Below are 24956 nucleotides of genomic sequence, written 5' to 3'. Positions count from 1 at the left end.
TCAGGTGAGGTTAGCAATAGTTTACCTCAATTAGGAAATTACTATGCATTTACATATTGTAGAACCAATTCACAAAGTGACATTTGATGCAAAACCAAACCACCACCAGTGGCAAGCTAGTATGAATCTGAAAAGACTGGCTGAGTTGAAACTTGCTCCTACTAATCTTCTGTGATTGGTTTTGCTTTGTGTGACTGGATAGCATTTTTAATCCCCAAAGCTCTTTGAGGCATTTGGCATAATTTGAATGTATTGTGTGTGTGTGTGTCTGTGTGTGTGTATTATAGTGGCCTGGTGGTGTCCTGATAAACATTTAGCAATCATCACTGGGGGCAGCGGGGCCCAGAGGTATAGCATTTGCAGTTTTTTCTGTTGTGTAAATACTTCCACCATGGCTACCAATTTTAAGCTACCAATTGAACATCACTGAATATGGAGTTCAGAAGAGATGTGTACGATTAACTCTCAAAAGCCAGAACTCCACTTGGTGTAGGAAGTGGTGACCAGAGAGGCAGAATGGAGGGGTGAGGAAGGGCAGAGATTAAAAAAAAAAAAAAAAGCGAAGGAACTGATTACTGATTTAAACACTCTAAAGGGAGAAGTAAGGTTGGAGATTTGGATAATTTTTTTTTGTGCCGTCAATAAGAAATTTACTTGTTTTAAAAAAATCCAAATGCTGGCATTGTCCAGAAAAATTTAACAGGTTTATTTATAATTATTATAAAGTTGAACCGCTGAAACTTGTTCACCGAAACATTTTAACTTGCATTAATGCTTTATGTCTCCGCATTTATATTAAAAATTCACACACAAATGAAAATGGAAAAACAGCCAATACCTGATTTCTATCCCCTATTTTTCCACTCGCAATCATATACTTAGGTACCTTTTGACCCCATGGAAAAAAATATCTAACGTTCAGTACTACCAATGACAGGAAGAAGATATTTTTTTTTTTTTTTGAGAATGAAATGTTTCCCATCATAGTGGATTCTTAAGCACGTTCTCCACGTATGCGGCGTGCTAGCTGGATGTCTTTTGGCGTAATTGTTACACGTTTGGCATGGATAGCACACAGGTTGGTGTCTTCAAAAAGGCCAACCAGATAGGCCTCACTTGCCTCCTGCAAAGCACCGATAGCTGCGCTCTGGAAGCGCAGATCTGTTTTAAAGTCCTGAGCAATTTCTCGCACCAGACGCTGGAAGGGAAGTTTGCGAATCAGAAGTTCAGTGGACTTCTGAACGTCTAATTTCACGGAGCGCCACAGTACCAGGCCTGTAACGATGAGGTTTCTTCACCCCTCCAGTAGAGGGCGCACTCTTGCGAGCGGCTTTTGTAGCCAGTTGCTTCCTGGGTGCTTACCACTGGTCGGTTTGCGGGCAGTCCGCTTTGTAGGAGCCGTGGTACAGAGACCTCCTTACTTACCCCCCTTCTCCTTCGGCTGGAGCTCGGCGAGCGAGAGGCGGCGCTGGCGTTGGAGAGCGACGGCGGCGCGGCGGCGCCTGCGAACACCAGGTTTGGATAATTTTTAACTAGCCAGTCAGCCACCTGAAAAACTGAAAGTTATTGTTGTTAAGCCTCACTGCTGAGTGCTGGACTTTTCCTGTTTTTGCAATAGTGACAAATAACTTCAATCTTTGCTTTAGGAGATTTTTAAGCACCGAATTTACAGTTTTTAAAAGTTGCTCACTTTGAAACGAATCTGTGGTGATACAAATTAAAATAGTGGCTACTTCCTAGGTATAGATGGTGAGGGGGCACAAGAGAGCTTTCTGGGGGTGTTGAAAGCTTTCCATTTCTTGCTTGATCTGGGTGGTTATTACTTGTCTGCTCATTTACATCTTAATAGTAAATAAATAGTTATAAAAAGTTGCTCACTTTGGACGTCCTTCCCCACCTCTGAAGTGTTTCTTCCGGGTATATATTACATTAAAAATAGTGGGAAGCGGGTGGGAGGCAGGGAAGAAATGCAAACTATTTTATTAGGTGATGTCCACGCTAATAACTGTACTATATATAGTGTGTTTTTGCACAGTGTACATTTCCACAGTGCATTATTCATTACACACACAGTGGTATTAGCTAGGAAATTGGGATCAGGTAAATAACACCAGGAAGTAATGACTGTTGACATTACATGTAGTAATCTAGTTTCCTGTAACAAACTGCACATGTATTCTGTTTGGAATTAATACAGTATGTTAAATTTTATCCATAAAAATGACTTATGAGATTGAATCCATTAGTTTAATGGAATATCACAATCATTATTCCAAACTTATTTATATTGCAATCAGTAGAATGGGATGTCTCTTCCGAATAAGAAAATGAATGTGAATGCCAAAGATTTCCTCTTATTTAATTTTAATAATTGTGAATCATCGCATGTGATATGTATTTTTCATATTTATGCCTGTAAGTAATCCCACCAGAGAAAATAGAAGAGAGGAAAGCCACATTAAGACTTGCAAACTGTTTCTCTCAGATGATTTTAGGGCTTTTTATTTCCACAATAAAGTGACCAGTATTAAGGCATGGTCCCTGATGAGGGTCAGGTATGGGGCAGGAGTTGGAAGTAAAGGAAGGCCCATGGTAGGACCCTCAATGCCTGAGCCATTTTAGAGAAGCCTGGCGTTTCACCAGGATATTTGTCAAAGGCAAAGTGAAGAGTAAAAGGAACACTTTTACTCTTGGCAGTCTTGTTTACCCTCTGCTACTACAAGGTGACTTAAGCCACATAGTTTCCCCAGTATTTGGAGTAGGGGCAAGGGGCACAATTCCTAAAGATGGAGCACGTTATTTTAAAACGGACTGTTGCAGGAAGGATGGGTTTTCTGGGAAGTAGTCACTGAGATTTGTTAGAGAGTGACGCCTGTGATTGAAAAGGAAGCAGGATTGGGCAGGAGGCACCATCAGTCTCAATGCACACCTGAGAAAGTTTCTGTCAGTCCAGTGGGGAATTCTGAAACAGATTCCCATTGGAAGCATCTGCACTGGACAGAAATGGCTAGATCTGTGCACCACAGCCTTTTTCAGTCATTGACTAGGGGCTGCTCCAAGAAGAGCATGACCTTGGCCCAAGAACTGAAGCCAATCCTGAAGGTGCTAACAGCTAGGTGGCTATGAAATAATTACTCTCCTTACAGCTGTGAAGTGAGTCCTTTCTTGAAGAGGGATCTGAGTGACACATCTGTAGGTCTGCCGCAGTCCACCCCTTGTATCATGCTGCTCCGCTTCTCCATACATGTTCATGGAGAAGTTCATTCAGGTCTCTTGTGAGCCTTTCTTAGAAGAGAAGGGTTAGTGGGATAAAGTACAGCTCTCCAACCCTACCTCAGCTGGTCTTGGGCTTCAACTGGTACTCATTGCCTCCCTCTTCCACTATCCATTCTAAATTCCTCTCACTCTCAGCTACCAACTTGGCAGGTGTTGGTGGCTTGTCTGGTGTCTGACTCAAACCCTCATTACTAAAAGATCAGAGTCCCTGGTAACCATACCCTTCTCAGACTGGATTTGCTGCATATGTTTATTCATAGTTACAATGGGTTAGGGGAGTACCAGGAGGCACCCAGGTGGGTCATCTGAACTCCACACTTACTCCTCTCTATTCTCATTGTGAAATATTATCCATACCTTCTCCTGATGATTAGTGTCAATTACGCCTGATAGGATGGTGAGCCCTCTTCTTGGCTGCTGGTCACAAGAAGCCCAGGTGTCCAGTTGTCAGTAATAGTTTGTAGTTGAGTGGTATCCTGTTGTGTCCCTTGGTAAGAGTGCACTCCCTTTGGGAACTAGGACCTCTAACACTATAAAACTTAGAGTTTAAGGGACCAGAAACACAAGATTCTGCAGTGGGTCATTGGTAGTGATGCTTAGTAGGGCCATTCCTGCTTCCACTCCTTGCTTTCTGAACCTTTTATTATTCCTGTAGAGAACACAGTATCATATGGTGATCTCTGACTTAATTCATACCTTCTGAGTGTTGCCTCTGAGACCGTGCCTTTAGGAGGCCATTTTAGTTTTCTGTGAGGTCAGCTACTTCTGGATGGTGTAGTATGCAATATGATCGATGTATCCCATGGTCATAGGCTCATTCCCATAACTCCTTTGCTGTAACATGGGTCTCCTAGTTGAATGCCATGCTGTGTGGAATTCCATAGTTGTGGATCATGCATTTCATAAGTTCCCAGGTTCTGGGTGAGGTTCTACAGGCAGGAAAAGTAAACCCATACCCAGAATAGGTATCTAGCCCTGTGAGGATGAACTGCTGGCCCTTCCAGGATAGATGCAGCCCACTGTAGTAAACTTGCTACCAAGTGGCTGATTGTTCTCCTTGGGGAATTGTGTCATATGAGGACTTCAGCACTGGTTACTGTTACTGGCATTTTAGACATTTAAAACTACCTAGAACACCCTAAGTGAGTGGAAGTTCATATACTTTGGGCCCATGCATAGCCCCTGTCCCTACCACCATGCTACTTCTTTCATAACCTGTTTTGCCAGTGTTGGGGTGAGTGATGAAGAAGGCTGGTTAGCATCAACTGGCCAACCATTTAGACTGTTTGATGTTTAGTCTCTCTTTCATGGTAGATCTCCTCTGATGGACATTAACATTTTACACAAAGATTGTCACAATTTGTGTCCACTTCTATATGTCAATCAACATGCCAATAATCCTAGAAGCTGTTTACTCCAATTTTCCAATCTTTCTCTTTCTGGGCCCTGACCCAGCCATTCATCACTGGCTATAAGTCTGTATTTATTCTAACCTTGGACCATGTCTCCACTCATACAAAATAGATGATCAGGTGCACCTCCTATAGTTCTGCCCACTGGGTACATTTTTCCCTCTTTACTGTCTTTCTTTTTCTTGAGTCTACACTGGGAAGAACACTGTCTTTCAAGGCTGCTCCTGAGTGAGGCTGTAAGGCAGCCACTTTTCATTTTTGGCTTGCACCCATACCCCAAGCTAACCCATCCACACACCAAATTCGGAAGTTTTCTTTCTCTTCCAGGTGGTCATATGGGACCCTCCAATATGATCATCAGTGTGAGTTGAGGGAAGGGCACTAGAGCAGCTATAGTGGGTGATATGGCAGTCGGGGCTACGTTCTCATGCAGTTTGCCTGTCTTCTGGTTCAGCTTGCACTAGGTTCTGGATGTACCATTTCCACATTTATTGTGATTGCTGCTAGGCCTACTTGATGTTAAGACTTGGTGGGTCTAACAGGACACAGCTCATAGTGGGCATTTCTAAATGCATGATCATTATCATTATTTTGTGGTTAACTGTTCTGTCTCTATCAGGGACTAATAGCTTGCCAGGAGCTATTTTTCAAGTGATATGTATGTTCTTTGGCATGGCCTTGCCCTAAAACTCCAGGGGCAACTCAAAGTGCACTTTGATTCTCCCACATCTCTCCCATAAATTCCACCTTGCATATTTTTTTCAACACCGGAATCTCCAAGAACATAGGGTCTGCCAGATGTATGGCCCAAGTAGCAAGGTTGCTTGCACTATAGGTTTGGTCTACTGCAGAGCCCTTTCCTGCTCTGGGCCCCACTCAAAACTGGTAGCCTTCTGCTTTACCCACTATATGGGCCAGAGCAATATTCCTAGGTATGAAATGTGTTGCCTCCAGAACCCAAAGAGACCCATCAGGCATTGTGTTTATTTCTTTATAGTAGGGTCTACAAGGTTTGGCCATTTGTCTTTTACTTAGGAGGAGATGTTCCTGCATGCCCTTGATAATAGACTTCCTAACAGCTATACTGAAGTATCAGGTCCCTGAATCTTTAAAGGGTTTATATTCTACCTTCTGGAGCATGTGTCTTAGCAAGGCCTCCTTGGTATGTTAGTCTTATCTTGCTCATCCTGTTGGATCAGCATAATGGTGTCAATCAATGTAAGGGATCGATGTAGTATTCTGAGGGATACCCACATCTCTTTGGATTTCATTATGACAGAGGGTGTAAGAGTTAACATTTCCACATCTCTTTGGATTCCATTATGGCAGAGGTGTAAGAATTAACATAGTACTAAGGCAAAAGTATAAATATTTGTTGTCTCTTCCATATGAATCCTCAATATTTCTGATCTTGGTTCCTGACTGGGATAGGAAAGAAGGCATTTACCAAACCAACAGCTGTATATCATGTACATGAAACCATGGGGCTATGTTGTGATTGAGTTTGCACTAGTCAACAGTCATTTTCCAAGATCTATCTAGTTTCTTCAGGGGTCAGATTTTTTTTGATACCTACCTCAACCATATTTTGCTTTGGTAGAATTTCTTAACAAAAATATATTATGGCTGCCATGAGAATGGCCTGGAAGACCTTCAACCATGACAGCATAACTGACCAAAGGCCCCAGCTGCTGGGCTCTGAAATCCATCACTGTGTTTGCAGTGAAGCCATGTACCAATGACTGGGCATGGCAGAGACACTAAGACAGGCTCATTCCTGCCCTATGTCAGCTGATGTTGAAGGGCCAGATTTTTCAATTAAAGAAGCTATTATAGGAATTGCCTCCCTTGTGTTATTTGTGTATTTATTTAGCTACATCCTATTCTTTCTTTTTTATTTTTTAATTTTTGTGGGTACATAGTAGGTATATATATATATACATACACACACACACATGTATACATATATATACACACACACACACATACATATATATGGGTTGCATGAGATATTTTGATACATGCGTAATAATCACATCAGGGTAAATGAGGTGTTATCACCTCAAGCATTTATCTTTCCTTTGTGTTACAAACAACCCAATTATACTCTTTTAGTTATTTTATTTTTTACAGGCATACAATTTGTAATAATCACATCGGGGTAAATGGGGTATCCATCACCTCAAGCATTTATGATTTTGTTGTGTTACAAACAATTCAGTTATACTCTTTTAGCTATTTTACTTTATTTTTCTTTATTTTTGTTTTTTTATTTTTATTTTTATTTTATTATACTTTAAGTTCTAGGGTACATGTGCACAATGTGCAGGTTTGTTACATAGGTATACATGTGCCATGTTGGTGTGCTGCACCCATTAATTCATCATTTACATTAGGTATATCTCCTAATGCTATCCCTCCCCCCTCCCCCCACCCCACGACAGGCCTCAGTGTGTGATGTTCCCCATCCTGTGTCCAAGTGTTCTCATTGGTCAGTTCCCACCTATGAGTGAGAATATGTGGTGTTTGGTTTTCTGTCCTTGTGATAGTTTGCTCAGAATGATGGTTTCCAGCTTCATCCATGTCCCTACAAAGGACATGAACTCATCCTTTTTTATGGCTGCATAGTATTCTGTGGTGTATATGTGCCACATTTTCTTAATCCAGTCTATCACTGATGGACATTTGGGTTGGTTCCAAGTCTTTGCTATTGTGAATAGTGTCGCAATAAACATATGTGTGCATGTGTCTTCATAGCAGCATGATTTGTAATCCTTTGGGTATATACCCAGTAATGGGATGGCTGGGCCAAATAGTATTTCTAGTTCTAGATCCTCGAGGAATTGCCACACTGTCTTCCACAATGGTTGAACTAGTTTACAGACCCACCAACAGTGTAAAAGTGTTCCTATTTCTCCACATCCTCTCCAGCACCTGTTGTTTCCTGACTTTTTAATGATCGCCATTCTAACTGGTGTGAGATGGTATCTCATTGTGGTTTTTCATGTGTCTGTTGGTTGTATAAATGTCTTCTCAAGTGTCTGTTCATATCCTTGGCCCACTTTTTGATGGGGTTGTTTGATTTTTTCCTGTAAATTTGTTTAAGTTCTTTGTAGATTCTGGATATTACCCCTTTGTCAGATGGGTAGACTGTAAAAATTTTCTCCCATTCTGTAGGTTGCTTGTTCACTCTGATGGTAGTTTCTTTTGCTGTGCAGAAGCTCTTTAGTTTAATTAGATCCCATTTGTCAATTTTGGCTTTTGTTGCCATTGCGTTTGGTGTTTTAGTCATGAAGTCCTTGCCCATGCCTATGTCTTGAATGGTATCGCCTAGGTTTTCTTCTAGGGTTTTTATGGTTTTAGGTCTAACATTTAAGTTTTTAATCCATCTTGAATTAATTTTTGTATAAGGTGTAAGGAAGGGATCCGTTTTCAGCTTTCTACATATGGCTAGCCAGTTTTTGCAGCACCATTTATTAAATAGGGAATCCTTTCCCCATTTCTTGTTTTTGTCAGGTTTGTCAAAGATCAGATGGTTTTAGGTGTGTGGTATTATTTCTGAGGCCTCTGTTCTGTTCTGTTCCATTGTTCTATATCTCTGTTTTGGTACCAGTACCATGCTGTTTTGGTTACTGTAGCCTTGTAGTATAGTTTGAAGTCAGGTAGCATGATGCCTCCAGCTTTGTTTTTTTGGCTTAGGATTGTCTTGGTAATGCGGGCTCTTTTTTGGTTCCATATGAACTTTAAAGTAGTTTTTTCCAATTCTGTGAAGAAAGTCATTGGTAGCTTGATGGGGATGGCATTGAATCTATAAATTACCTTGGGGAGTATGGCCATTTTCACGATATTGATTCTTCCTATCCATGAGCTATTTTACTTTATTTTTCACAGGCATACAATATGTAATAACCACATCAGGGTAAATGGGATATCCATCACCTAAAGCATTTATCCTTAATGTTGCAAATGATCAAATTATGCTTTTTAAGTTATTTTATAATGTACAACTAAATTATTATTGAATATAATCACCCTGTTTTGCCACCAACACTCTTATTTGTTCTTCCTAACTATTTTTTTTGTGTACATTAACCATCTCCATTTCCACCGCCCAAACCCCACTACCCTTCTCAGCATCTGGTGACCATTATTTTACTCTGTATCTCCATGAGTTCAGTATAGCTCCATGAGTTCAATTGTTTTGATTTTTAGCTCCCACAAATAAGTGGGAACAGTGATGTTTGTCTTTCTGTGCCTGGCTTATTTCACTTAACATAATGACCTCTAGTTCCATCCATGTTATTGCAAATGACAGGATCGCATTCTTTTTTATGGCTGAATAGTACTCCATTGTGTATATGTACCACATTTTCTTTATCCATTCATCTGTTGATGGACACTTATGTTGCTTCCAAATCTTAGCTATTGTAAACAGTGCTGCAACAAACATAGGAGTGTAGACACCTCTTTGATATACTGATTTCCTTTCTTTTGGGTATATACCCAGCAGTGGGATTGCTGGATTACATGGTAGCTCTATTTTTAGTTTTCTGAGGAACCTCTAAACTGTTGGCTATAGTGATTGTACTAATTTACATTCCCACCACCAGTGTATAAGTGTTCCCTTTTCAGCAATTCCTAACCAGCATTTGTTATTACCTGTCTTTTGGATATAAGCCATTTTAAGTGGGGTGAGATGGTATTTCATTGTAGTTTTGATTTGCATTTCTCTGATGATTAGTGTTGTTGAGCATTTTTTCATATACCTGTTGGCCATTTGTATGCCTTCTTTTGAGAAATTTCTATTCAGGTCTTTTGTGCATATTTTAATTAGAGTATTAGTTTTTTTTTTGTTATTGGATCAAGTGCTTTATATATTCTTGTTATTAATCCCTTGTCAGATGGGTAGTTTGGAAATATTTTCTCCCATCCTGTGGGTTGCCTTTTCACTTTGTTGATTTTCGTTTTCTGTGCAGAAGCTTTTTAATTTTAAGTGATCTCCTTTATCCATTTTTGCTTTGGTTGCCTGTGGCTCTGCTGCATTGTTCAAGTCTTTGCCCAGACCAATATCTTGGTGAGTTTCCCCAATGTTTTCTTGTAGTAATTTTATAGTCAGAGGTCTTAGATTCAAGTCTTTAATCCATTTTGATTTGATTTTTGTATTTGGTGAGAGATAGGGGTCTAGTTTCATTCTTCTGCACATGGATGCCTGGGAGTCAGGGACTAGAGTAAAGAACCTTAGAAGTCTACCTGGTATTCTATTGTATTGTGGCTGAGCTGGAACTTGAACCACAAGACACAGTCCTTCTCAGTCTTCGCTTCCATTACCAAACGCAGAGGAGCCTTACCTCATGGTCACTGCCACCTCAGGACCATGGGGAATGCTGCCAGGCTGCCACCAATGTTCCCTTAAAGCTCAAGGCTCTTCAGTCAGATTGTGGTGACTGCTGCCTGTACTGAGACTCACCCTTCGGGGAACTGGGCTCCCTTCTGCCTAGGGCAGGTCCAGAAATGCCACCTAAGAGCCATGTCTTGGAATGGGGGACCCTAAGGGCCCATTAGGTTCTCCATCACAGTGTCTGAGCTGGTATCTAAGCTGCAAGACAAAGTTCCCTTACTCTTCTTTCCTTTTTTCTCAAGCAGGAGTCGGTCTCCATAGCCACCACTGCTAGGAATGTGTTGGGTCACAACTGAAGCCAGCACATCTCTGAGGCTCATTCAAGGCCCTTGACATATTACCTGGTGTCACTGCGGATTATTCAGGGCGCAAGGACTCTTTAGTCAGCAGATCATGCTTGCTACCAGAACTGGGTCCTTTACTTCAAGGCAGAGGACTCCCTTCTTGGCCAGGGCGTGCCTAGAAATGTCTGGGAGCTAGGGCCTGGACTGGGGGCTTCAGGACTCTGCCTAGTGCCCTATCCTACTGTGGCTGAGCTGGTATCCAAGTTGTAAGACAAAGTCCTCTTTGCTCTTCCTTCTCCTGTCATCAAGCAGAGGGAAGGAGTCTCTTCTGGAGCTGTGACTTTGCCGTTGAGGGTTGTGGGAGGGATGGCACAAGTACTCCTTTGGCTACCCCAGCTGGTGTCTCATTAATTTGTATACACCCAAAATCCACTGGCTCTGAGCCCAGCACGGAACCAGGACTTGTCTAGGAATTGCAGTCTTTGTGGCCTAGGCTGCCTTTCCAGTTTATTTAGGAGCCCAGAGCACTTTGACCTGCTGTAGTGAGGCTAGCTGGAACTCAGGTTCTGATTGCTGGGATGGGCAATTCCCCTCTGGATAGGGCTAGTCTAAATGCTCCATCTGTGGGTGGGCACTGGTTGAATTCTACCTGATGTTGCTTTCTGCTGTGATAGGCAGCACTGAGTTCCAATGAAAAGTCCCCAAATCACTGTGCTCTCCCTCCCCCAAGGGCACAGATTCTTTCTCCGTGCTACCTGGCTGCTACCTGGGGATTGGGGAGGGGTAGCATCAGCAATTCAAGACTGTCTTTCCTACCCTCTTTAGTGCCTCTTTCTGTGATATGAAGTTAAAACCAGGTACTTTGATCACTCACCTGATTTTTGGTTATTATGAAGGTGCTTTATTGTGTGGATAGTTGTTCAAGTTGGTGTTTTTGTAGGGGAGGACAATTGGTAAAGGCTTCTATTTGGCCATCTTGCTCTCCCTTGCATTGTTTAAATCTTTACAAGGGGCAAAAATTTCCATAATCCTCCTTCAGATTTGATACTGGTTTTGGTTTATTATCTTAGTCTCTTGCAGGAGGAGGAGGAGCAGCTTCAGAAATTCCTATTTAACCTTCATTATGGCCAAGGACCCGATGTGGGGGCTACTTCAACTGCCAAATATGTCCATTCCAACTGTACATTCAGGGACCAGGAAAATGACCATCATGTGAGTCAGCAGATACAGTGGCTCCATTGTAAGTGATGCTTTGGCTAGGATTTTTTTTATTACTTGACACCCAGATGACCCCCCTTTAACAAGCGGACATGATGATGCTTCATGTCTGCAAGTATCAGTGTCCACTCAGACCCCAGGTCTAATATCTGGATATGCCTCTTTTTCTAGTGTACAGTAAATGTACCTTATGTACAATAATTGTACAGTAAATTTGCCAAGTAGATGGCTGTGGGGTCCTTTTGGTAAGGACTGGGGGGAAAGACTTGTAATGCAGGGATCTTCCCACTGGAGGCCATGTCTCTAATAGGTGTGTTCTGGGATGGAAAATTAGCTCAGGTCTGGAAACTAAACTAGAAATTATGGCGTTTTAATTGGGGAGACTGACCTAGTTCCTGCTCATTTATGCTTACTCTTTTAAAAAATTATATATGTTAAGCAATACCCTTTTGGCTGCTATCTATTTTGCCTTTAGGGATGCAGTGTTCTATTAACCATCTCTACATATCAGGCCCACTTGGTTGCCAATCTAATTGTGTATTGTTATTTTAATAATTACAAACCCCTGGGCTTCTGGTGGTGGAGTGCTATCACTTGGTCTCTATTGCCAGGGTTGGGAGGTTTGGCAATCATTTCCATTTCTATCAACAAATCAAGGAATCACATCTCTTATCATGTGCTTTGGCCTGCAGAGGAGAGCCACCACTGAACTTCTTGGTGATCTTGCTGCCCCTTTCACCAGTATTCCTGATGGGCTAGGTGAATGATGTGTCTTCTGGGTTCTCCTATGTGACATAATCCTCCAGTGGATCTTCTGGCTTCATATCCACTCCAACATGCCCGCTTCTCCCAGCCTTTTAATTTCTTTCTCTGGCATGTGCCACAGCAATTCAGGAATTTTAACGTCTCTCAGTATGGGCTGTTTTTTTTTCCAGGCTTATAGGAGCCACCTTAGCAGCAAGTTACACCAACTTCTGGTGTCTCTGTTAGGGTGTTAAGTCTTGTATTCTAAGAGAGTGGCCCCAAACCAACAAACTCTCCCTTATCCGGTCTTACAAGAAAGCTCTCCTTGGTCAAGCACCTTCAGAACATAGTCCCATGGGACCTCCCTTGATTCCTCTCAGTACCTGCCGGCAGTTCCTTTGGGATATAGTCCTTTTCCTCCCCAGTCAGGTCCAGCTTGATTGTGGAAATGTTTTGCTGCATATAGGCCTGCTGCTTTGTGGTGGAAAGATCTATGTAGTGTCTTCTTATACAGAAGAAGTACTAGCTCTTATTGGGCAAGCATGAGGCATTTCTACAGGCTCAGAAGCTTTTGAGAGGGCTGGGGAGTCAAAATCTTCAGGAGCATCCACTTAGATGTCCCCATCCCCTGTGTCAGGGTCCTAAGTTTTCACAACTAGGACCTCGACTTTGGCATAACATATCTGCCTCAGTTGAGCATTCAGTTATCCTTGAAGTTCAGCCACTCTAATGATCAAATTCTGGGTTTTGTCTTCAACTTTTTATGCTCACCCATTGCATGAAATTAGGTCTTCTTTGTAAGCTACTAAAGAGATTTTGTGTTCGCACATTTAGTTTTTAGTTGTTATTGCCCTTCAGCAGGGCATCAATGTAACTAAATAAAAGTATAAGATTCCATTTTCTTTATACTTATATTTCTCGCATACATTTGAAATGCTTGAGTCATTCCATGAGCTAATGAATTCTCCTTACTGGTGTGTTCTCCTGAAACACCACAGGAGAAATATTTAGACATTGGGACTCTGTCTTGTGTCAGGGGCTCTCTGTGCATAACTTTCCACCAGGAATGGGGTCCTTAATGCCAGACAGGTGCTGATGAATCCAATATCCACACAGCATCTTACGGCTTCCTTTCTTGGGCCACTTCTGGCACCAAAAGTTACAGGTTGGCTTCTCAAGGAAGCAGATTCAGAGGAATTAGGAGTGCAAAAATTTATTAGGGAATAACACCTGTGAAGAAATAGAGACAAAGAAGGATTGAGGAGGGGGAGCCATCAGAAGATATGCAGTGGGTGGTGCTCTTCCTGGTTGTGTCTTGACAAAGTCTCTGCCAGCCCGAGGGGGCTCTCTGGAGCAAAGATTGCTCATTAGAGAAGTCCCATGTTGGGTGGGAATAGCTAGGCTTTTGTACCACTGCTTTGCTTGGTCATTCACTGGGGATCACCCCCAGGGAGTGTGACCTTGCTTATCACCACTTTGCTCAGTCATTAGTTGCTAGATGTCCCAAGAAGAGTATGATCCATATTCTAAATCCCTGGCAGATTCTGAAGATGCTAACAGCTGTCAGCCAACTACACTCCTTATAGCTGGGCAGTAAATCATTGATTGAAGGGGAATATGAGGGATGGATCACTATGACTTCGACATTGACTGAACTTAATACCACTGTGTATGAGCTAAATCTATTCGTTTAGACTACAATTTCTATTTCTCCTCCACTATCCAGTGGGTAAGCCTCACAAAGGAGATTAGATTTGCATGCCTGAGTGTCCTATGAATCAATTTAGGACCTAGCTGCGGTGCAGTAGCTTGGCATTGGCCAGGGAGGGCATCCATAGTGGTGGTGCAAGAGATACTCCACATCCAAGGGAATCTGAAGGTTAGGCTGCCTGGCTGGTGGGAGATAAGGTAGAGCTTCTTTTGGGAGAAGAGAGACCTGGAAAAGATGACCAGTTATGGACAACTGCTTTTGCTGACCGATTGATTATGTGGAAGTTGGGCCTTTTTGGACAGAAAGTCTGGGAGATTTTGCATTTTGTATCATATAAGGTGGCACCTCTTCTCTGTCAACACTACTTCCTAAGTTATGCCTGTTTTTTTCCCCACTTCCACATTTCATTCATTTGCCCATCAAACCTTTACAACTCTGTTCCAGCTATGTAAATGACTACAAGAGACTCTTCCCATGGTCTCAGTGCATGACCCAGTAGGGAAAATAATATTTCATTACAGCACAATGAGGTAGGTAAGTACTACTGTGATGGGAGCAAAAAGGAAAGTCCCTAACACAGTTAGACAAGGCTTCCCAGAGGAAACAATGCTAAGTTAGTCTTAAAGACAGAGTACAAACTAGTCAGGCATAAAAGCAAATAGAGAAGCATGTGCAAAAACATGAAAACATGAAAAGACATGGCAAGGCCAGGAATTTTAAATAGTTGTATATGGAGGAGAACCAAGATGGCCAACAAGACACAACCAGGAAGAGTATCACCCACTGAGAGATGAGACCATCAAGAAGACTAGCACACTCTGAGTGAATCTTCAGAAGGAAGACGTTGAGAGTGGACAGAGGGAGGACACCTACCCTGGGCTGAAGGGGGAGGAAGCTGGGAACCCTGCACAGGGCTGCCAAACATCAGGGCTCATTCCTGGCCCTCAGTGGCTCCTGGGGAAAGGATGAGTTAAATAGGTGAGAAGTGGCCCACTGTCATAAAGGACCATTGGAATCTTAGCTGCAGGAGACCCAAGACCCCAACAGATATTTAAGCTGACAGGGATAGGTACTTGGAGATGTGGCAGGGACAGGACTCCAGACTGTGTGGAGCCCCGAGGGTTTGGTTTGAGAATGGCTGCAATGGAACATGGCCAGGGATGCCCATCCCCTGAGGCTTGCCACGGTCCTCTAGGTGGCTTTGGCCTTTGTTGACTGTTGGACCTGGACAGAACAGGGCTATCTTGATTGTGGAATGGGCAAGTCTGATCTGAACACCCTCCTGTCTGCTGCCATCTCCCAGCATCCCTGCATGGCCACACCTGTTTGCAGCGCAGCCTCAGATGCCAAACTGGTGCACTTCCTGGTGGCTGCTGCCATAGCTCCTTCACTGGCAGGCCCAGCTAACCATCAGAGGGTTTGAGCAGATGGGCCCCTGCCAACGTGCATCAACCCATAGCCTCCCTTCATTGCTTTGCCAGCACACACTTGCTTGCAGCCTACCCCCACTGCTTTGCCAGCTTGTGTGCGTATGGACCTTGCTACTCACTCCATTGCCACCAGTGCCCATGGACTTTGCCACCACTGCCTCACCACCACTGGTGTGAGCATGTGCATGCAGACCTCACTGTCCTGCCACCTGTGCATATGCACACACATGAACCCTGCCGCACTGCTGCCCCATTGCTGACCCATGGTGGGTCCTGCCACACTGCTGCCCTATCGCCACTTGCATGCATGTAGACTCTGCTGCACCACCACCGGCAGTGCACTTGTGCACATGGATCCCACCATGTGGCTGCTGCCAGTGCATACAAGTGGACCCCATTGTGCTGCTGCTGCCAGTGCTCACATGCGTGGACCCTGCCACATCGCCACTGCTGATGCAAGTGCATGCATGCAGTCCCCACCACCCTGCCACTACTGGAGCATGTGCGTGCATGTAGATCTCACTGCGCTACTGCCCTGCTGCCACCAGCACATGCACATAGACCCCTTGCCACAGCCCCAATGAAATGCTTTTGCCAGCATCCTCCTCCCCTATTGGAGTATTGTTAGTGGAATGGAAACACCTCAGCCCCTCCAGCACAGTAGATGCTCAACTCGAGGGTCCAGAGAACAAAGCCATGGCCCTGGTCCTAGTCCCCCACTGTTACAGCATGCAGCCCAGGGGTGCTGAGCTGAGCCTTGGCCACTTGAAATTATCCAGAAATGAAGCCAGTCAACTGAAACCAACTTATACCACAGTCAAACCCTCAAGGACGTCAAAGAATATAAAAGGAAAAGCTCCATTAAAAGGACAGCAAATTCAAAGATTAAAGGAATATCAGCCCTTACAATTGAGAAAGAACCAGTGCAAGAACTCTGGCAACCCCAAAAACCAGAGTGTCTTATTACCTTTCAGTGACCACACTAACTCCCCAGCAATGGTTCTGAACCAGCCTGAAAAGGCTGAAATGACAGACATAGAATTCAGAATCTGGATAGTAATGAAGATCATCAAGATTCAGGAGAAAATTGAAACCCAATCCAAAGAATTTAATGAATCCAATAAAATGATACTAGAGATGGAAGATGAAATAGCCGTTTTGAAAAAGAACCACGCTAATCTGATAGAGCTGAAAAACTCACCACAAGAATTTCATAATACAATCAGAAGTACAAACAGTAACATGGACCAAGCTGAGGAAAGAATCTCAGGAAGAAATTGAAACGCTGAACAGATGAATAACGAGTTCTTAAATTGAATCAGTAATAAAAAGCCTGCCAAGCAGAAAAAGCCCTGGTCCAGACAGATTCACAGCTGAATTCTACCAGGTGTATAATGAAGAGCTGGTACCATTTCTACCCACAGCCAACATCATACTGCACAGGCAAAAGATGGAAGTATTCCCCTTGAGAACTGGAATAAGACAAGGATGCCCAGTTTCACCACTCTTATTCAACATAGTACTGGAAGTCCTAGCCAGAGCATTCAGGCAAGAGAAAGAAATAAAAGGCATCCAAATAGGTAGAGAAGTCAAACTATCATCTCTCTTCACAGAAAATATGATTTTATACATAGAAAACTTCATAGTATCTGCCCCAAAGCTCCTAGATCTGATAAACAACTTCAGCAAAGTTTCAAGATACAAAAAATCAACGTACAAAAATCAGTAGCATTTCTGTACACCAACATCTGAGCTGAGAGCCAAATCAAGAATGCAGACTCATTCACAATTGCCACAAGAAGAATAAAATACCTAGGAATACAACTAACCAGGGAGGTAATAAGAATTACAGAACACTGCTCAGATAAATCAGAGATGATACAAAAAAAATGGAAAAAAGGCCAGGCGCAGTGGCTCACACCTGTAATCCCAGCACTTTTGGAGGCTGAGGCAGGTAGATCTCGAGGTCAGGAGATCTAGACCATCCTGGCTAACACAGTGAAACCCCATCTCTACCAAAAAGCAAAAAATTAGCTGGGTGTGGTGGCGGGCACCTGTAGTCCCAGCTAGTCAGGAGACTGAGGCAGGAGAGTCGCTTGAACCCGGGAGGCGGAGGTTGCAGTGAGCCGAGATCGCACCAGTGCACTCCAGCCTGGGTGGCAGAGCGAGACTCCATCTCAAAAAATAAAAAAATAAAAAAAAGGAAAAAATTCCATGAATTGGAAGAATCAATATTATTAAAAGGCCATACTGTCCAAAGCAATTTGCAGATTCAATGCTACTCCTATCAAACTACCAACCACATTTTCCACAGAATTAGAAAAAACTATTCTAAAATTCATATGGAACAACAACAACAACAAAAAGCTCGAATAGACAAAGCAATCCTAAGCAAAAGAACAAAGCTGGAGGCATCACATTATCTGACTTCAAACTCTACTACAAGGCTACAGTAACCAAAACATGATGATACTGGTAAGAAAGCAGACTCACAGACCAATGGAACAGGTTAGGGAACTCACAAACAAAGCCACACACCTACAACCATCTAATCTTCAACAAAGTTGACAATAACAAACAATGGTGAAAGGACTGCCTATTCAAAAAATTATGCTGGCATAACTTGGTAGCCCCATGCAGAAGGTAAAAACTGGACCCCTTCCTTTCACCACATACGAAAATCAACCCAAGATGGATTAAATATTTAAAGGTAAAACTTAAAACTATAAAAACCCTAGGAGAAACCTAGGAAATACCATGTTGGACATAGGCCATGGCAAAGATTTCATGACAATGTCTCCAAAAGCAATTGCAACAAAAGCAAAAATTGACAAATGGGACCTAATTAAACTAAAGACCTTCTGCACAACAAAATAAACTATCAATAAAATAGACAACCTACAGAATGGGAGAAAATATTCACAAACTATGCATCAAACAAAGATGTAATATCTAGAACCTACAAAGAACTTAAACAGTTCAATAAGCAAAAAACAACTCCATTAAAAAATGAGCAAAAGACAAGAACAGACACTTCTCCAAAGAAGACATACATGTGGCTCACAAGCGTATGATAAAAGCTCAACATCACTGATAATTAGAGAAATGCAAATAAAAACTACAATAAGATACCATCTCACACCAGTCAGAATGGCTATTATTAAAAAGTCAAAAAATAACAGATGCTGGTGAGGTTGCAGGAAGAAAGGAACTCTTATACACTGCAGATAGGAAAATAAATTGGTGCAGCCACTGTGGAAAGCAGTTTGCAGAATTTAAAGCGGAACTACCATTTGACCCAGCAATTCCATTTTTGGGCATCTACCCAAAGGAATATAAAGTGTTCTACCATAAAGACACATGCACGTGTATGTTCATTGCAGCACTATTTACAATAGCAAAGACGTGGTATCAACCTAAATCCTTATCAATGGTGTTACATATACACCATGGAATACTACTATGGTGTTATAAAAAATAATGAGACCATGTCCTTTACAGCAATATGGATGGAGCTGGATGCCGTTATACTAAACAAATTAATGCAGGAATAGAAAACCAAATACCATATGTTCTCACTTACGAAGGGAGCTAAACATTGAGTACACATAGACACAAAGAAGGGAACAATAGACACTGGGTCCTACTTGAGGGTGGAGGGTGGGAGGAGGATCAGGGTCAAAAAACTATCACTTACTATGCTTATTATGTGGGTGACAAAAGAATCTGTACACCAAACCCTTAATGTTAAAAATGACATGCAATTTAACTACATAGAAAAACCGCACATGTACTCCCTGAACCTAAAATGAGTTTGAAACAAAAAATAAAAATAAAAAGTTGCATATGACTAGGTCTTAGTGAATAGCAACAAGGGTGAAGAAATTGGCAGGTGGCAGATTATAAGCAACTTTTATGGTAAAATAAAGAGCTGGTGGCTCATGCCTGTAATCCTAACAATTTGAGAGGCCAAAGCAGGAGGATTGCTTGAGGCTAAGAGTTCAAGACCAGCCTGGGGAATATAGTATGACTTAGTTTTTAACTAAAAAAGTTAAAAAAAATTAGCCAGGCATGGTCCTTGTTACTCAGGAGGCTGAGGTGGGAGGATCGCTTGGGCCCAGGAGTTCAAGGCTACAGTGAGCTATGATGATGCCTTTGCACTCCACCCTGGGCAACAGAGAAAAACCCTGTCTCTCTAAAACCAAAATTAAACACATAAATAATAATAAAAAAGAGCTTACTCTTGTGCCAAAGAGCAATAGGGACCCACTAATGCTGAGGAGTGATGAGATCAGGAAAAGTCACTCTGGTTGCAGTGTGGAGCATGAATTGGAGGGACAAAAACCTGGAAACAAGAGGGACAGCTAAGAGGATATTATATTAGGCCACATAGAAACTGTTATAAGTTCAAACTAAGGTAGGGACTCATATAAGTAGATGGATTTCAGAGATATCAGAGAGATTGAATCATTGGAACTTGATTCAAGATAAGAATGAGGGAGGGAGCAGGCAGAGTTGATTTCCAGGCTTCTGAATTTGGTGACTGGATTTACAGTGGTGATTGATCCCCTCTCCCACCATTGTGTCTGTATGACCCAACTCTCTGTGACAGTGGAAAGGGTATTTTAGTCTTCTCTAGCCACCATAACAAAATACCACAGACTGAGTGGCTTAAACAACAGAAATTAATTTTCTCACAGTACTGGAGGCTGGAAGTTCAACATCAGGGTGTGAGACTGGTCAAGTTCTGGTGAGGGTTCTCTTCCTGACTTGTAGATGGCCACTTTCTTGCTGTGTGCTCACATAGCCTTTCCTCCATGCATGCATGTGGACTGAGAGATCTCTGTCTCTTCCTTTTCTTATAAGGCCACCAATCCTATCAGATTGGTACCCCACCCTTAAGACCTCATTTTACCTTAATTACCTCCTAAAAGCCCTATCTCCAATCCAGTCATATTGGGGATTAGAGTACAACATACAAATTTTGGAGGAGACACAGTTCAGTCCATAGCAAAAGGTAAAAAAAAAAAAAAAAATCTAAAACATGGGTTGCTTAGAGTTCTCTGAACACTTACAGAAATACATATGCTTGGGTATATATAAACTGAACATGCAAACTCCCCACCTGTTCCTTTTTTGATTCCACCCAGGTTTCATCTAATATCTCCCTCAGAGTGACCATAACCACCTCCTTGTATTGCTTTGTTCTGGGGAGTGATTTGGGACCCTTGGCTAGCATGCTCAGGGCTTGCACATTCCTTCCTTGGTGATAACCCTAGATGGTTTTCCTCCGCAAGAGTGCAAATCATATTATGATTTGGCGATCCAAAATATACAAAGAACCATATGCTTACTTTTCACTACATCTTATAGCTATACAAGTTGGTGTTAAACTAACCCATCTGCTTTTCCATTGTCATTGTACTGTGGCTTCTGCTTTTGAGTGCAAGTCTGTTTTTTTCAGATTGTCATATCCACCAATTTTAAAGTCCATTAGTTTTATTTTTATATTTAATTTGACTCCCCATCAATGGTGTTTTAAATCAAGAGAGGGATTCTTATAGGGAGCTCTGGTTTAGCAGTGGGGCGAGGGCAAGAGAACACACAATAGTTTCTGTGTTGGAGATGTCAAGTTTGACATGCTTATAGCATAATCCAAGTGAGGGGGGCTCCTATAGACATTTAATTATACTTGTTCGGAGCTCACGAGAGAGTTTTGAGATAGAAATAAAAACTTGAAACACATCATAATGTAAGTGGAGATGGAAACCATGGGATAGCACACAAGAAGAGAATATGGAGTGTAAAGAAAGGGGGAAATGTGGTAGAACTTGGGAGAACATTGACATTAAGAGATAGAAGAGGAGACCAGGAAGCAGAAGAAAAATTATCAGTAGCAGGGTAAGAGGAAACCCAGTAAAGAGTGCTGTCATGGAAGTAAAAATAATAGAGATTTCCAAACTGGAGGAGGTTAATGGCATCAAATTCTGAAAAGAGATAAAATAAAATAATGGCTATCAAGTAGGGTAAAGTAGTGATCGGGAAACTTTCTGTAAAGAGCAAGTTAGTAAATATTTTAGACTTTGGGCAATACTGTTGCAACTAGTCAACTCTGCCACTGCAGAGTGAATGAAGCCACGGAAAATACATAAGTGAATGGCTGTGGCTGTGTTCCAGTAAAACTTTATTAACAAAAACCAGTGGTGGGCTGGATTTAGCCTGTGTGCCAAAGTTTGCCAACCCTTGCTATAAAGTATGGATTGCAGTTTATTGATGACCTTGTCAAGAGAAGTTCCTGTACAGTGGTGGTGGTAGAAACCATATTGCAATAATTGAGGAAGTGGAGACTGAGGATGCAACAAGCTTTTCTGAAGCTGTACAGTAAATGGGAGGAAATGTGGACCTTAGAGGCCTTCACTGGGTTCAGAGAGGGTTTTCAATCTTTCAGATAAACTCTTGCACTCTCATGGGGGAAGACTGTAATGTTATTTGGGAATATTTATAGAAGTTGTTTCCTTCTGTCTGCTTATATTCAAGCCTCGTGTGAGCTGCCACCAGAGCTTTAATTGACTTGTTCAGGCTTAATGAATATTTATTAGGAAAATTGTAAATCAACCATTTTGCTATAGGATTGAAGCTCAGTGAAACCACTCCTGGGGTAAGTTTTCCAAAGCTGCTGACATGGGGAGAGGATTTTTCTTAGGTTGTCATTGTAGGTTCTTTTACATGTTTATAGCTAGGGCATTGTGAATCAACAAATAAGCAAATACCTCCTGCTCAGAAGGTGGAAAGGCTGGCAAGAAAGTGGTCATTCTGAGGTTCTCAGCAGCTATATGCTTTCAGGGTCCCGGTATGACTCCTCAATTGCAAAGGCTCACAGCTTTTGGGCACGAAGAAAAATTTAGTCAACTCCCCCACCCCCGATTGTATTAGGAAGAGCAAGTCCAAGTGAAGGGGCAAAGGGAAAGTCTTCCTTTTGGGCTTTTAAAAGTATTTTCTCTGAGCAGAGCAATATACATAAATGAATGCAGATTCTTTTCAGTCATCATCTACCTTGTACCAAGACTGTAAGCCCTCTGAGGGTAGGGGCCAAGATTGCTCCTTCCTCATCTGGCAAAGAGAAGCAGAGAGTGTATGCCCTCTCACAACCATCCTGTGCAGGTGACATATGGTTACAATAACAATGGCTGTCAGAGAACTTGGGGAATCTTGCCCATTTGAATGAATTTGTGAACCCTCAGCATTGAGGAGGTTGAGTATATGGCAGTAGGTTTGGGACAGTGATCAACCCCCTAAAGCCTCCCTCAATCTTCTCCTGACAACAATGCTCTCCCTGGAAACCTTTTGAGAAAATCTGAGTGCCCCATGTTTTCACCGAATGTAAATGGCTAGTCTATGATTCTTGATCTTAGGTGTGCAGGAAGTCTCCTAGCACTTCATAGCACTTTTAGTTCTGGAGGCAGGTTTCATTAATTCTTAGTGCAACCCACCATTCTCTCCTAAGAGAGAATCTGAATTCAGCTGTGGGAGTGCACAGAACTCCCACACCTCAGCTGCTGAGTTTCATGTCTGCCAAGTGATCTGATAATAAATTGGTCCCAGGAACCTCAGTCCAACAGAGTGAGGACAAAAGGGGAGGGGTATGGTTCAGAGTCGCTAAAAAGCTCAGGTTTTGAAAGTAACTCTCTCAGTAACAGTAGGTTTTGGTAGTGTTTGTGTTACAAATGGTTTCTGACCCTTGTGAGATAGCATATTAATGCATCTTTTGCTTGATTGAGTCTGAATTCTGAGGAATAATGGTTTTGCTTCTTGCTTCTCAATTTGTTCTCCTCTACGTTCATCTTCTGAAGTCACAGTTGACCCTTTCCCTCATCCAACAGGAGGGAGACGATTTCCTGCAACATTTCTGCCATGATCTTACTAAGGTTTCCTTAAATACATTTGTCCTTCCTGTTTGAAGATTGTTCTGTTGACTGAGTGTGATCAGATGTGAGTCTTAACAGGGCAAGAATACTGATGCAGAGACCAAGAGGAATTCTTCTTTTGTGCACAGGGAGAGTGTGGCATTTGAAATACAAGGCCTTTTTGAAGACCTGATTGGTAAGGTTGACTCTATGTATAAGCAAAATATCTAACTACTTATAGTCCAATTTGAGAAATACTAAAAGCAGCCCCCTTTGTTTCCTCCTTCTTCCAAGGAGAAAAAAACCCCAAAATCCCACCTACACCAAAATAGTGCTCCATTATCTGTGACAGCAACTGAGATTAGCTTCTCCTTTAGGGGTAAGGAATTGAAGTGGCTGTTAAAACATAAATCTATTGTTTTGGAGGATCCAGGGACATTGTTTGGTACTTGAACTGATTTCATCACTCTAATCTAGTCACTGAACTTGCTCCGGAGAATCAATTGTCTTCTGGTAGGACTGCAACAGGTGTCTTAATTTTAAAAAGCAGTTGAAGAGTTATGAAGTGTGAGTGGTTTAACAGCTATTTAGCATTTCAGAGCACAGTGAAAATGGTAGTAATTATGATGATGCCTACAGTAAGCCAAGCTGTCCACAGTGTGATTATATCAGCCTTCACTTCAGAATTTTCTCAGTCTTCCTTTCCCACTCCCATTTTTCTTCTTCTTTAAGCTCTTGCGTTCCTTGCTTCCTAACTCCCTAACCCCAGATATCTTTTTTCCTTGATCTCTCTAGCATCTCAGCTGCACTTTCCTTCTTTTTTGGTTCAGTTGCAGATTATCCCCTCTCCTTTCCTCCTATCATTATCCTCTGTTCTCTAAGGTGATTATGATATAAGCTGGTGTACATTTAAACACTTGCTTTATTTGTTGGATAAAGTTGTATTACGTGTTCAGAATCTACAAATCAGACTAGATAATTAGCTTTTCATTTCTCTGTCAGAACTATTCTAAAATCAGTATAGTTCTAAATTCATTATTTCTTCTCCCACTCTAGATTAGTGATCCTTGGTGGAATAAACGTTTTCCAGTTAGGAATTATTATTGGTAATTGAAGCAGCAGCACAAAACTTAGCTAAGCAATTAAGAGTACTAGGACATATATGTTATGATGGCATAGGAAAGTAATTGGAAGTGTTTTTGAAGGTCAATAATCTTGAATTTAGGTACTTCTGTGGGAGGTCAGTTGTGGAGATGGGAGAATTGAAGATCAAGTTTAGAGCCAAGGCAGGCCTCTGGAAAGGAGTCCCAAAGGGTGGAGGAGACAAAGAATGGGAATGGAAGATCCTAAAGTTAAACTAATCTAAGTTCTTGGATGTATGGTTTTGCTTAAGCTAGGGGTCTGCGCCTGACTACAGTTGCAGTTGGGGTGGGGAGAGGAGTAATCCTTTGTGAAAGTCACCAGTAAGGTGACTGTTACATCATTGGCAAAGCTTCTAGGGGAAGTCAGTTAGTGAATAACTTCTTGGCATCTGCATCCAAGTAAATTTTAAACATCTAGCCAAAGCACAGAAACAGAA

At 42.1% G+C, this 24956-nt stretch overlaps 1 pseudogene; it reads right to left on the bottom strand.

The window, feature by feature from the left end:
• Positions 1 to 801: 801 nt before the first annotated feature.
• Positions 802 to 1512, bottom strand: H3P47 (H3 histone pseudogene 47; annotated as a pseudogene).

Source organism: Homo sapiens, chromosome X, assembly GCF_000001405.40.
Source record: "Homo sapiens chromosome X, GRCh38.p14 Primary Assembly".
NCBI lineage: Eukaryota > Metazoa > Chordata > Mammalia > Primates > Hominidae > Homo > Homo sapiens.
This window is presented reverse-complemented; position numbering and strand designations above follow the sequence as displayed.